This window comes from Homo sapiens, chromosome 13 (genome assembly GCF_000001405.40).
Source record: "Homo sapiens chromosome 13, GRCh38.p14 Primary Assembly".
NCBI lineage: Eukaryota > Metazoa > Chordata > Mammalia > Primates > Hominidae > Homo > Homo sapiens.
Genome location: NC_000013.11, coordinates 24,938,833 through 24,952,854, shown reverse-complemented (window position 1 = coordinate 24,952,854; position 14,022 = coordinate 24,938,833). Strand labels below are relative to the sequence as shown.

At 41.0% G+C, this 14,022-nt stretch overlaps 2 pseudogenes across 2 annotated transcripts in view; one reads left to right on the top strand and one right to left on the bottom strand.

The window, feature by feature from the left end:
- Positions 1 to 14,022, top strand: part of TPTE2P1 (TPTE2 pseudogene 1) — a 39,730-nt pseudogene that overhangs the window by 15,630 nt on the left and 10,078 nt on the right. Inside the window, exons 2-5 of one of the 2 annotated variants that reach the window (NR_178209.1) lie at positions 1,367 to 1,458; positions 9,834 to 9,923; positions 10,747 to 10,868; positions 12,070 to 12,378. The product of NR_178209.1 is annotated as a TPTE2 pseudogene 1, transcript variant 1 (transcript). The remainder of the gene's footprint in view (positions 1 to 1,366; positions 1,459 to 9,833; positions 9,924 to 10,746; positions 10,869 to 12,069; positions 12,379 to 14,022) is intronic. The other variant, NR_026730.2, reaches the window with a different exon arrangement.
- SLC25A15P3 (solute carrier family 25 member 15 pseudogene 3) lies at positions 8,158 to 9,279 on the bottom strand (annotated as a pseudogene).

Here is a 14,022-nt window from a genome sequence, read left to right as displayed (position 1 = left end):
AGCTGACTGACACACTTATATCTAGGAGAAGTTACAAGACACAGTATTAAGGAATACAGCTAAAAAATATCATTAAGTAATAGTCTATTTAAATAGCCATTCAAATGTGGCTTTCTAATAACTGAATTGGGAAACCTTTCTGAAAAATTATTAATTGGGTTTGGAGATTATTGTTCCAAAAAAACCTTCTACCATATTTGGAAACTCATTTCTCAGTCTAGAAGTTCTCCACTATAAGTAGCATTTGTTTTGTGATGGTGAAAAATTGGGATTTTTTTTTGGTATCAACCATACTCTTCAATACAAAAGGACAAAATATTTTTTAAATGATTTAGGTCAGAATTGAAGAAGTGGCTATGATTATATGTGGCATGAATTGATAGTTATTGTTACATCCAGTCCTAATCTTTTCTTCAAATGTGAACTGGATCGAATAACTCCTTAAGTCCAGCAAGGCAACAGGAAATTAAACCTCTGGTCTACACACTTGCAATGCAAAACATTTAATGGATTTTGATAGAGTGAACTTTGGATTTGACGGAAATTTTTACAAGTTTTTTTTTTTTTGGATGCATACAAACAATAAGCTTTTTCTTCTAACATGAGCAAAGTCCCTCAAAAAGTGAGACCTGGATGTAACTTCACTTGATGCTGCTCCTCGAAAGTGGTTCTTGCTAAAGGATACAGTCTTTTTCCTTTAAAACACTATGTTCATTTTGGAGAAGTGATAAGCTAGATCACTTTTATTCTTACTTTTATATAAATTTCTAAAGATTTCTGTAACATTTACATTTACATACAACTTGGTAAAGCTGTTTTTGTTAGTTATAAGATTGTTGTTTAGCCAAAAATGCTAACTTGTATCATTTAGAACACTAGGCATAAATGGGTTAACCAATTTATGCCTAGTGTTCCATTATTGGAACGCTCAGCATGTGGGAGTTATGTCCTACTGCTCAAGGTCATTTCCAAGGTCTGATTGTAAAAATTCAAAAAATTGCAACTTCACACATAAATTGAAAGAGATATAGTATTTTATTCCTGGGTTTTCATTCATGTCTATCCTGACTGATTTCTGTCACAGAGAGAAATTTAGATATTTTATTAAACTTGGAAGTCATTAATGCCATATAAAGCAATGCTAAGAGAGTCAGCATGTGTTACTGATGTGTTGCTGAAGATTAAAGTATTTTTAAGTCTCACCAAAAAGGTGGAAGGAGCCAACCGAGACACAAAAAAGGAGCTGGGGTTCTATTCATGGTGAGTTTCTTTTTTTTGTTTCTTCCAGCTCTAACGTGGGTACCCAACTGCGTGGCTTTTCGGTGAGCCCCAATATAAAATGTAATAATTTTTTTTCTATTCTTAGGCTTTATCTACCAAGAAATGAATTGGATAATCCACATAAACAAAAAGCTTGGAAAATTTATCCACCAGAATTTGCCGTGGAGATACTTTTTGGTAAGAAATGACTTCCAGTGATGTTGTAGCTGGATCCGATTAAGTACAGCTCCCCCTTCCCCTTCTGGGAAAGAATTATGTTCTTTCCAACCTTGCCACATATTCATATATCCTAAATCTTCCTTGATGATATATTTATATATGTTTATATATGTTCTTCATAAGTCTACTAAATATATATAGATAAAATGTCAGTGTTTTTTTTTTCTTTTTTGAAGGCACATACTTCACAATTTCCATCTTGTATTTACATAAATTTGGAACACAGTATGCAGGAACATCAGACATCATTTTGAAGAACTTTGAAATAGAACTTTCATAGCAAAAACTTGAGATATTTAAAAATTGTAATTCCCCAACCCCCACTTACTTACATATTTTTGGTCAAGTATTTATTCCCTGCTTTGGTTCACATTTGTAATTTCAGATTTATTAGAAAGCTAATTTATATTTTTTCTTCCACTTCATTTACAAACTGTCTGTTAACAGACTGGCAACAAAGACTAAGTTTTAAATCCAGAAGAGAGAAGTGTTTCACACAAGCAGTCCCCCAACTCCCAACACACAGTCTCTCATTCTGAGCACTAACTAGGTAGCTTACTTGACAAGCTTCCTTTAATCACACACAGACATGGGGGTTGGGGTAAGAAGATTGTGGTAAATATGAAGATAAGTAATCTTTGGTAACTTCTGCTTTTGTTTAAAATTGTAAGTGAAGTCAAAAGAAATATTTGTTCTTAGAGTAATCTAGGTGTATTATTTTGAAATTCACTACTCCTGCTCACAATTCACCTAAGCTTGGGAGGACTCTGAAGGGAGGTTATCTTTTCATTATAAACACTGGTTAGCCTTATGTCTACAGGAAATCATTATTTCCTCTTTGGTGCTGGGTGCTACTTTTTTTTTAACAAATTTTTTATTTGTATTTTTTATTTCTTGAGACAGCATCTCACTCTGGTTGTCAAGACTGGAGTGCAGTGGTGTGATCTTGGTTCACTGCAGCCTCAACCTCCCAGGCTCAGTTGATTCTCCCACCTCAGCCTCCCGAGTAGCTGGGACTATAGGCGCATGCCAGCACACCCGGCTAATTTTTTGTATTTTTAGTAGAGACAAGGTTTTGCCGTTGTTGCCCAGGCTGAGCTCAAATTCCTGAACTCAAGCAATCTGCCTGCCTCAGTCTCCCAAAGTGCTGGTATTAAGGCATGAGCCACCACGCCCAGTCCGTGGGTGTTACTTTATTCAAAATACCTTTATTGCCACTGTATCTTCAGGCCATGATTGTCCTTGAAAACATTCTATCTTGGCCTTATTGAAATTATTCTTATTTGAATGATTTTCCTTTTATTGTCAAGGCCCTCAACAATCTAGACCAAGATGAGTTCATCAGGAAACGAAAGGTAGCAACTAATAAGACAAGTGTCACTGCTAAAACACGGTATACTCATTCCTGAAAAACCTGGCACTCTACAGAAAGGACTAAAAAAAGAAGCGGTCCATGAAAATACAGTTTGAGAGTCCAGGGCAATCCTGTCCGGCATAGCAACTTTCTAACCAACACACTAACCGCTCGGGCCACCCACATCAGCAGCTCGATGTCGGGAGTTTGCCATAGAGCTTTTTAATTTTTGAGTGGAAATAGAAAAATACTTGCTCTAAGGGCTGTGGGTACCAGAATGGCACAGATGAGAGTAGAGCCCTGAGCCATGGTGGGCACGGAAGGCAGCAACCTGCCAGGAGCCAAGAGCCCCACTAGGCTGGTGAGCCACCTCGCTGCAGGTGATTTTTTCTCCTCTAAATATTCCAAAAACGTTCCGACTGCCCATGCAGCAGCCCAGCTAAGGCCTTTCTCCTTTACTCCCCCTGACCTGGCTCCCGCTTTGAGGAAAAGATCATAGATCGTGCTTTCAAATTCCTTTCATGTTAATATTACGCCCTGCCATTCATATGACAGAAATGTGTAGGCACAACATAGGTTACACTGTTTCCTTTAAAATTCACACAGCAATAATCTACAGAGGGCAGATTATGTCCTGGCTTTAGGTGAATAGGGAGGAAAATACTTAGCTGGCTTAGTGAAGATTAAGATCTGTCTTTTTCAGTACTAGAAATACAGGAAGGAAGGAAACCCCCTTTTTTATTTTAAGAATGTCCCTTTTTGAAATAAGGAGATTACCATGAAGGTTTCTCTTCCCCAGACCTCCAAGACCCACCAAAATTTCTGGAAATTATGAGTTGTCACACTATTCTGCTTTCGCTTATTCAAAGAAAACTCATTTACGGCCTCTTTGGGTGTTGCTTTCTTAGAATGCAAAATGAATGATTCTTTGAATAACTCAAGAAACTTAGATCAGAGTGATACTCATGTCTTAAAATTTTAGCTTTAATTTTAAATATAGGGGGTATGTGTGCAAGTTTGTTACATCAGTATATTGCACCCCGGTAGTGAGCATAGTACCCAATAGGTAGTTTTTCAACCTGCACCCCTCTCCCTCCATCCCCCTCTAGTAGTCCACAGTTGTCTATTGTTCCCATCCTTATGTCCAAGGGTACCTGTTTTTTAGCTCTCATAAGTGAGAATATGTGGTATTTGGTTTTCTGTTCCTGCATTAATTTGCTTAGGATAATGACCTCCAGCTCCATCTATGTTGCTGCAAAAGACATGATTTCATTCATTTTTATGGCTGTGTAGAATTCCATCGTGTATATGTACCACATTTTCTTTATCCAATCCACCACTGATGGGCACCTAGGTTGATTCCATATCTTTACTATTGTGAATAGCACAGCAATGAACATATCAGTGTGTGTGTCTTTTGGTAGAATGGTCTTTTTTCCATTGGGTATATATCCAATAATGGGGTTGCTGGGTCAGATGGTAGCTCGTTTTAAGTTCTTTGAGAAATCTCCAGACTGCTTTCCACAGTGACTGAACTAATTTACACTCCCACCAACGATGTATAAACGTTCCCTTTTCTCTGCAGCCTTGCCAGCATCTGTTGTTTTTGACTTTTTATTAATAGCCATTCTGACTAGTGTGAGAGGGTATCTCATTATGGTTTTGATTTGCACTTCTCTGACAATTCGTGAAGTGAAGCATTTTTCCAGATGCTCATTGGTCACTTGTATGTCTTCTTTTGAGAAGTATGTGTCATGTTCTTTCCACATTTTTAATGGGGCTATTTGGTTTCTGCATGTGGATTTGTGTAAGTTCCTTATAGATTCTGGATATTAGACCTTTGTTGAATGCATAGTTTGCAAATGTTTCCTCCTGTTCTGTGGGTTATCTGTTTGCTCTGTCGATCATTTCTCTTGCTGTGCCAAAGCACTTTAGCTTTATTAGGTCCCACTTGTCAATCTTTGTTGTTATTGCAATTGCTTTTGGGGACTTAGTTAAAAATTCTTTCCCAAGGCCAATGTCAAGAAGGGTATTTCTGAGGTTTTCTTCTAGGATTTTTATCACTTGAGGTCTTACATTTAAATCTTTAATCTATCTCCAGTTAATTATTGTATATGATGAAAGGTATGAGTCGAGTATCATTATTCTGCATATTGCTAACCAGTACCGCAACACCATTTATTGAATAGGGAGTCCTTCCCCTATTGCTTGTTTTTGTCAGCCTTGCAATATCAGATGACTGTAAGTGTAAGGCTTTATTCTGGGTTTTCTATTCTGTTCCATGGGCCTATATGTCTGCTTTTGTGCCAGTACCATGCTGTTTTGGATACTATAGCCTTATAGTTTGAAGCCTCTGGCTTTGCCCTTTTGCTTAGATTTGCTTAGGCTATTGAGGCCCTCTTTTGGTTTCATATGAATTTTAGAATACTTTTTTCTAATTCTGTGAAGAATGACATTGGTAGTTTGATAGAAATAGCACTGAATCTGTCAATTGTTTTGGGCAGTATGGTCATTTGAATGATACTGATTCTTCCAATCCATGAGCATGGAATGCTTTTCCATTTAATTGTGTTATCTCTGATTTCCTTCTGCAGTGTTTTGTAGTTCTTGTAGGGATCTTTCACATCCTTTGTTAGCTGTATTCCTAGTTATTTCATTTTCTTTGTCGCTACCATAAATGGGATTCTGTTCTTGATTTAACTCTCAGCCTGGACATTATTGGTGTATAGAAATGATGTTGATTTTTATACATTGGTTTCTTATCCTGAAACTTTGCTAAAGTTGTTTATCAGTTCTAGTAGCCTTTTGGCAGAGTCTTTGGTTTTCTGGGTATAGAATCATATCATCAGCAAAGAGAGGTAGTTTGACTCCTTCTTTTCCTATTTGGATGCCTATTCTTCCTTTCTCCTGTCTGAGTTCTCTAGGTAGGACTTCCAGTGCTATGTTGAATAGGAGTGGTGAGAGTGGGCATCATTGTCTTCCTCCATTTCTCATGGGAATTGTTTCCAACTTTTGCCCATTCAGTAGGTTGGTGGCTGTGAATTTGTCATAGATGGCTCTTATTATTTTGAGGTATGTTCCCTTGATGCCTAGTCTGTTGAGGTTTTTAATGTGAAGGGATGTTGGATTTTATCAAAATCTGTTTCTGCATCTATTGAGATGATGATATGGTTTTTGCTTTTAGTTCTGTTTATGTGGTGAATCACATTTATTGATTTGCATATGTTGAACCAGCCTTGCATCCCTGGACTGAAGCCTTCTTGATTGTGGTGTATTAACTTACTGATGTGCTGCTGGATTCTGTTTCCTAGTATTTGGTTAAGAATTTCTGTGTCTATGTTAATCAGAGTAATTGGCCTGAAGTTTTCTTTTTGTGTGTTTCTATGCCAGATTTTGGTATTAGGCTGATGCTGGCTTCATAGACTGAGTTAGGGAGGAGCCCCTCATCCTCAGTTCTTTGGAATAGTTTCAATAGAACTAGTACCAGTTCTTTGTACATCTGGTAGAATTCAGCTGTTGCTTCATCTGGTCCAGGGCTTTTCCTTGTTGGTAGATTTTATATTAATGATTTGATTTTGGAACTCGGTATTTGTCTATTTAAGGTTTCAATCTCTTTCTAATTCAATCTTGGGAGATTATATGTTTCCAAGAATTTATCCATTTCCTCTAGATTATCTAATTTGTGTGCCTAGAGTTGTTTGTAGTATTCTCTGAGGATCTTTTGTATTTCTGTGGGATTGTTTGTAATGTCATCTTTGTCATTTATGATTGTACTTATTTGCTTCTTCTCTTTTTTTCTTTGTTCAGCTGTCAGTCTATCCATCTTGTTTATTTTTTGAAAAACTAATTATTGGTTTCATTGATCTTTTGTGTGGATTTTTGCATCTAGTCTAAAAAAAAACAGCACTTCAAAAAGCACTTCATTCAGTGCTTCTTTAATTTTAGTTATTTCTCTTCTGCCAGCTTTGGAGTTAGTTTATTCTTTTTTCTAGTTCTCTTAAGTGCAAAGTAGGAATGTTAATTTGAGATATTTCTAACTTCTTGATGAAGGCATTTAGTGCTATAAACTTTCCTCTTAACACTGCTTTAGCTTCATCCCAGAGATTCTGGTATGTTGTGTCCCCATTTTCATTAATTGCAAAGAATTTTTTTATTTCTGCCTTAATTTAGATTTTCACCCAGGAGTTATTCAGGAGCAAATTATGTAATTTCCATGTACTTATGTAGTTTTGAGAGATCTTCTTGATACTGATTTCTATTTTTGTCTCACTGTGGTCAGAGTGTGTGCTTGGTATGATTTCAAACTTTTTGAATTTATTGAGGTTTGCTTTCTGGCCAATCACGTGGTTGATCTTAGAATATGTTCTCTGTGCACATGAGAATGTATCTTCTGTGTTTGTTGGACAAAGTGTTCTGTAGATGTCTATCAGGTCCAATTGGTCAACTGTCAAGTGCAAGTACGGAGTTTGTTAGTTTTCTGCCTCAATGATCTGTCTATTGCTGTCAGTGGGTTGTTGAAGTCTCCTGCTGTTATTGTGCGTCTAAATCTTTTTGTAGGCCAAGAAAAACTTGTTTTATGAATTTGGGTGCTCCAGTGTTGGGTGTGTACATATTTAGGCTAAGTCTTCTGGTTGAATTGTGCCCTTTATCATTCTATAAGGAATGCCCTTCTTTGTCCTTAGTTTTTATTAGTTAAAAATATGTTTTATTTGGCCAGGTGCAGTGGCTCATGCCTGTAATCCCAGCACTTTGGGAGGCTGAGGCGGGTGGATCATGAGGTCAGGAGTTCGAGGCCAGCCTGACCAACATGGTGAAATGCTGTCTGTACTAAAAATACAAAAATTAGCCAGGTGTGGTAGTGCAACCCTGTAATCCCACTTACTTGGGAGGCTGAGGCAGGAGAATTTCTTGAACCCGGGAGGCAGAGGTTGCAGTGAGCCAAGACTGCGCCACTGCACTCCAGACTGGACAAGAGAGTGAGACTCCATATTAAAAAAAAAAAAATCAACCACTTAGAATAGTACACATATTAAGTAGATCCTACATCTAGAATGGGTTAAGCAACCATTTATAAGCATCTTTATGAGAAATGATCACCTCTGGGTTTTTCTGGTAATATTTGAAATAAACATGGAACCAAACTGTATTTCCCTCAACACATAACTGTCCAAATTGAATGTGCAAGTAGAGGTTTATGTAAAAGCCCTGACAGAACTGTACTCAGTCTTTTGAATTAGGTGCATAAGGCTACTGACCACTCTCTATTTTACCAAGGGAAAGAGCAGTGACTTCTCTATTTCAGTACAATTATGGGCAGAAATGACATGATGTAAAATAGAGGTTCTTCCAAACAAGTTAAGATATAGGGTATAAGAGAAGACAGAAAGGCAAAATTCCCAAGAAATCAGAATGACTTCACGCTGGTCTTGTACTACAAGAAACCCTGAAATGAACTGTAGTCCTCAAACACCTGTGCTTGGCTCAGGCCCTCCAAGACACTTCAGTATGCTTCCAACTGGCTCATCATCAAATTCCTGCTATATTCGTAGGCCAAAAAGAGTGCTCCATTGTCAGGGAATGCTCGAATCATAGTAGGTTTCAGTCCAGAATATAAGGCCATTATTCCTAGAAGACAAAAGGGCAATCAAAGACTGTAACAATCCCTCCTTTGGGGACACCCACGCAGCTGCATAGCACAGGTATATTTACACATGCAAATCCAGGCAAGAGTGCTAAAAACCAACAAGTCATGGATGGATGCGTTCCCAGCTTTCCCTAAATAGACCAACAGAAACAAGAACAAGTATCAGGTCTCCTGGTGAAACTGACTGATGCTCAGGTAACATACCCCAATTCCATGCTTGGTTAACTCTTAGTATATGGATGGGGCAGAGTTGAGGCCTGAGACAGCCAGACAGAGGCAACCATGGAGACAGAGGTGGCCACAGCTTTGCAGCTTCACCTGGGCAGTGGCAAGAGCACCAACCTTGAGGTTGGAGACTGGTTTATAGTATTAGTACTGCCCAGGGTGGTCATGAAGATTGAATTAGATAAGGGAGGTATAAGTACTTTGTAAAACTTCACGTTATACAAATTTAAGGGAGGATTACTATGAGTAATAGACAAGGTATCTGTGCTCTATTTGGGACACAAAGTTTCTGTGTTACTGTTCTCTTTCTTTTTACAATCAAAACAGAGAAGTTCATATCTCAGATTTTAAGATGTATACTAGATGCTGGAAAAACAGGTGTTTACTCACCTTCATTTTTCACAACATTTATAAAGGTTCTGATAAATCCTGCCTGTTTTCCAGACATGGAAAGAACTTGAATTCTTTATTTGATACAATCCACTGGATATACCGCAAGCCAGAGGCAAATCCCGCCAACTCCCTCCACCACTTAACATCAAAGGGACAGGGCCTAGAGAAAAAAAAATAGCAAATGGTATTTTATCTCAAGAACAGCTGACGTGACATTCCCAGAGTTCAATGTAGTAATGGCTGCAGGTAGGTGAAAATAAAAATGCTAATGCTGCGGAAGAGTTCTTTGTGGAAACTGTCAAAGCTGTTGTTCCCAGGCTCTAAGAACACAAGGTTTTGTTTGGTAGCCCAGGTCTACCCCTGGGTCTTGCCAAGTACAAGAAGCTCTAGTGAGGGTTGTATTTCATTTGGTCACTGAGGTGTGGAGGGCTGGCCCACACGAACCAGCAGGCCTCCAGCTGAGTGGCAACCCTTTACGGTGGGGGGAAGACAGGCCAAACGCAATCTACATCTTTTTTCAACTTTCTCACTCTTAAGTATTTTAATAGCCCCGATTCTTCCTTTACCATTAAAAGCCAAAATTGTTTTTATTAAACATAGCAGATAAGTCTGGGAGCTTGTCTAACCCCAGAATAGATTCAACATGCTGAGGGAGATGGTAAGAATAGGTAAATGCATTTGCATTAAGTGGAGTGTGATGGTGTTTGCTCCCTGCAGGTATGGTTTCTGTGGATTCTCTGCTCTTTGTGCTCTCCTCCCCACATTGGTGGCTCCATCTGGCACAGGGAAGCTTCTGGATGTCAGAAGGTAACATGTTGGCAGGCAGTTGATAGCACCCCACCCTCCAGGCTTGATAATTTCCTTAGGACAGGGACTGAAGCAGTACATCCCAAACTTTCTTACTGGAATAAAGTTTGCTAATTTTTCTGTCTTCTTGGGCAATCGTATCCAGTCCCAAGCCTTTTAAAAAAACAAGCTATACCCATCCTGGTGGAATTCCTGCCTATAAAAGGGGACACCTTCAGACCTCCAGGCACCTCCAGAAAACACTGCTGTGCGCAAGGAACAAAATTCAGTTGTGTGGGACATGCAGCTGCAATCGGGTTTCAAACTCCCATTGCTGATGATCAAGTTAAAATACGAATGTGCTGGATTAAATGCTTTATTCAGCTTATCTGCATCTAGGTTATCTAAACTACGCAGCCACTTAAACCATTCTGTCACCTCTTCTCTTGGAATACTTAATTATTTTAATGTAATTCAGATCTCATTTTATCCTAGCCCAGCAGCACCTGGGAGAGAATGACCCTGAATTAATCATAGTAAAATCATATTAAATTATATTCCACTGATTCAGAATTGGAGATAATTTGGCAATTAAAGGGAGAAGTGTGTCATTCCTCTCCTGGAAGAAATGAACAGTAATGATGGGATCACAGAGATCGTACATACAAGGGCCCAATACACACACGCCCACCAGCAAACGGCTTACATACCAGGCTCCCAACCATACTGTTTCAATTTCTATCTTTCAAACTAACTGTAAATTACAAACGTGGTACCCAAATACCTGTATGCGCATAAATAGGAAAAGGTAAACTCTTTTTTTTTTTTTTTTTTTTTTTTTTAGGTGGATTCTCACTCTGTCACCCAGGCTGGAGTGTAGTGGCACAATCTTTGCTCACTTCAACCTCTGCCTTCTGCGTTCGAGCAATTCTCCTGCCTCAGCCTCCCGAGTAACTGGGATTACAGGCATGTACCACCACATCTGGCTAATTTTTGTATTTTTAGTAGAGACGAGGTTTCACCATATTGGCCAGGCTGGTCTTGAACTCCTGACCTCAAGTGGTCCACCTGCCTCGGCCTTCCAAAGTGCTGAGATTACAGGCTTGAGCAACCTTGCCCAGCCAAAAGTAAACTTTTTAATTCTATCACAATATGTTCTAGATCTTTGACAGACTGAAAGACATAAAATGTCAAATGGTGAGACTCTGTCACGTGGATAAACACCCTCCTACTGCAGATACAGAACTGAGCCCAAGAGCATTCACGTGCTGGTGAGAGGTGGCCAGGGGCAGGCAGATGGTTGCACCATTCTCAGGGTCAGCATCTTCCCCAGTGTGGCACGGGGGAGGGGAGGGGGCCCGGGGCCTGGGAGGCTGTAGCCTAAAGGCATGCGGTGGGCGAGAGACTACTGGGCAGGCCCCTGCCAGCCTTCAGTTCCCTGAGCATCTGGTGCCAGGACGCTCCTTGTGGGCTCTGCCCTGGGAGAAGTGCCCTTGCCCAGTGCTCCTTATCAGTGTCTGTGATGCGCTGTCTCCAGTCCTCCTCATTAGCATACCTTGGCCGACCTTTGGCTCATGGAAAAACACTTTGCTCTTCTCTGAACAATTTCTTTTTCACAGCTGAGCAAATGACTGATGAGGTGACCACACTCATGACCATACCCACCCGTTGGTGGTGGGTGGGGGTGGACTGGATGAGGACAGCATTGGGCAACACTCCTTCTGGCCTCCCCACTGCAGGGAGCCGCAAGTACTATGAGAGTCCTGTGGGACGCCAGGGTAGTCCAGGGTTTCCCTTTGGGCAATCAGCCTTCCAACCTCTCCTCCTACTTCTGGCCTCTGGAGAACTAAATTACTACCATGAACTTCCCATTCTACCTGTGCCTCAGCCCAAGGGTCCTGCTCTTCCTGCATGTTCAAGCTGATCTTTCTAGGGAGTAGCCTGCACTGTGCCAGCACTACCCCCTTGTCACAGGCAGCACCTCCCTGTGCCGGGGGAGCCTCAGTCTGCCCTTGGGCTCAGGCCCCTAGGCTCAAGTTAGCTGACATTCCCAGGAAATCCTACAACTTCTCCTTTCCTTTCATGGCTCTGAGACACAGTCCATTATCAGTCTCATTGTAAAAGACACTTCTAAAGAGTGTCCTCCTTTCTTTCCCAACACTGGCAGGGACAGTAAGTGGTGTTTCCTGGGAGATGCTACGGTGTTATTTTTGCACTACAAGGGCTCTGAAGACTGCCAGGCTTGAAGTGAAGAACCACGTCACCTGCCTATCCCAGCCAGGTGACAGTGGACAAGGGGCTTCACCTCTGAGCTGTTTTCCAGCTGTACTGGGCACATTCCTCCTCTCACCCTGACTCACAAGGTGTTAGCAATAATGGACACTCCTCTATCTTCTGCCACACTCTGAACAATACTTCACTTCCATCAAATGGATTCATCCCAAAGGTAATGCCCATCGCTTCTGGAGGGAGAAAGGTAATGTTTTCATACCACTTTCATTTGATCTCATTTAGAAGGTACTTGAGTAATAGAGAAGACTGGGTTTTCTCTGGGATTATACGTAGGCATTTCTTAATGACTGGGACATGTTCTGAAAAATGTGTCATTACACAATTTCATCACTGTGCTATCATAGAACACACACACCCGACCCTAGATGGCATAGCCTACTCCACACCTAGGCTGTACGGTATGGCCTGTTGCTGAAGTCTACACACCTGTACAGCATGTTACTGTACTGGATACTGTAGGCAACTGTAACACAGTGGTATTTGTGTATCTAAATGTATATAAACACAGAAAAGGTATAGTAAAAGATGGTATAATCTCATGGGACCACTATCAGATAAACCATCCATCACCAACAGAAGCATGGTTATGAGACACAGGACTGTACCTGCAGCCGCCACCATGAGGTCAATGGCAGCCTGGATAGTGGAACCCACTCTTCTGCTGGTCTCATGGAAGGCAGCTCTCTGGAGCTTATGACAGGCACCACATATCCCTGGGGGGAGGCAAGAGTTCACCATTAGTCCAAGTCTGCAGCCTCCCATTGTCTAGGCCTGCAGCCAAATTACTGAACCTAAACTTCTGGGAGCCATGAACTGGGCTCTACGTTGTTCCAAAGGAAATGGGCTCAAGGTATCAGTGCGGCTTAGCAATTGTCCCCTAAAAAGCTCACAGATCAAAAACCTCCACTGTGTATCAATGCTACAGCCACCAGCAGCACTTCAAGTGACCTTTCTGAAAACTGAAAAAATGAACACCAAATAAGTAAGCCAACCACAGATGTACTAACCCACATCAGGCTTGCTTTTTTAGAGGCCTGTGCTGAGCCATCAACTGAACAGGCTCAGTTCTAAATTGAGACAGCAGCCTGTGCTGGGTGCCTAAGGGGATGTCTTTGAGATACAGTTGGTCTGGAAAGAAGCATCCAGGCAGCCAAGGGTGGGAGCTGTACCCCGGGATCACAAACACCTTGGGGAATGCCTGCTCTACCTGCAGTTTGGCCCCTTTGCCTCTACAGCTGGGAGTCTTCATCTGTACAAGGTGAATAATAAAAATATTATAAAACAAAGGCAGTCACAAATAGCCCCAACACCATGCCATGGGGGCTACAAAGTCCGGCAGAGTCAAAGGAATGAGACAAGACAATAGTACATAAAGTGGGTCCAGGGCACTCAGGGCTGTGAAGGCCCTGAGCTCTGGGAGCCCACACTATTTATTGGTGATAAAACAAAGAAGCAGGGGGTGAGGATGTGCTGGTCAAAAGGAAGTGGTCGCATCAAGTGTTTAATTTATAGCTGTGTCGGTTTAGCATTTCCTTTGAAGCATATGGAACATGTTCTGCTACTCGAGATAATGTTGAATATGTCCTTATAACTCAAGATACAATCAATTTATGATCCTGGGAGAGCAAGAAGCAAGGAGCCAGCAAGTCTGGGCACATTCCAGAGGCCACGAGGGGTTTTATGTCCTGAGTCGTGGATTCCATCCAAGCCATGAGGGGTTTTATGCCCTGGGCTTAGGTTGTAGTGCAGCGGGGCAGCCTTCCACCCTTAAGCACAGAGGCTGGTGTTGCACAGGCCACAAGAGGTTTTAAACTCTGGACCCAGGACA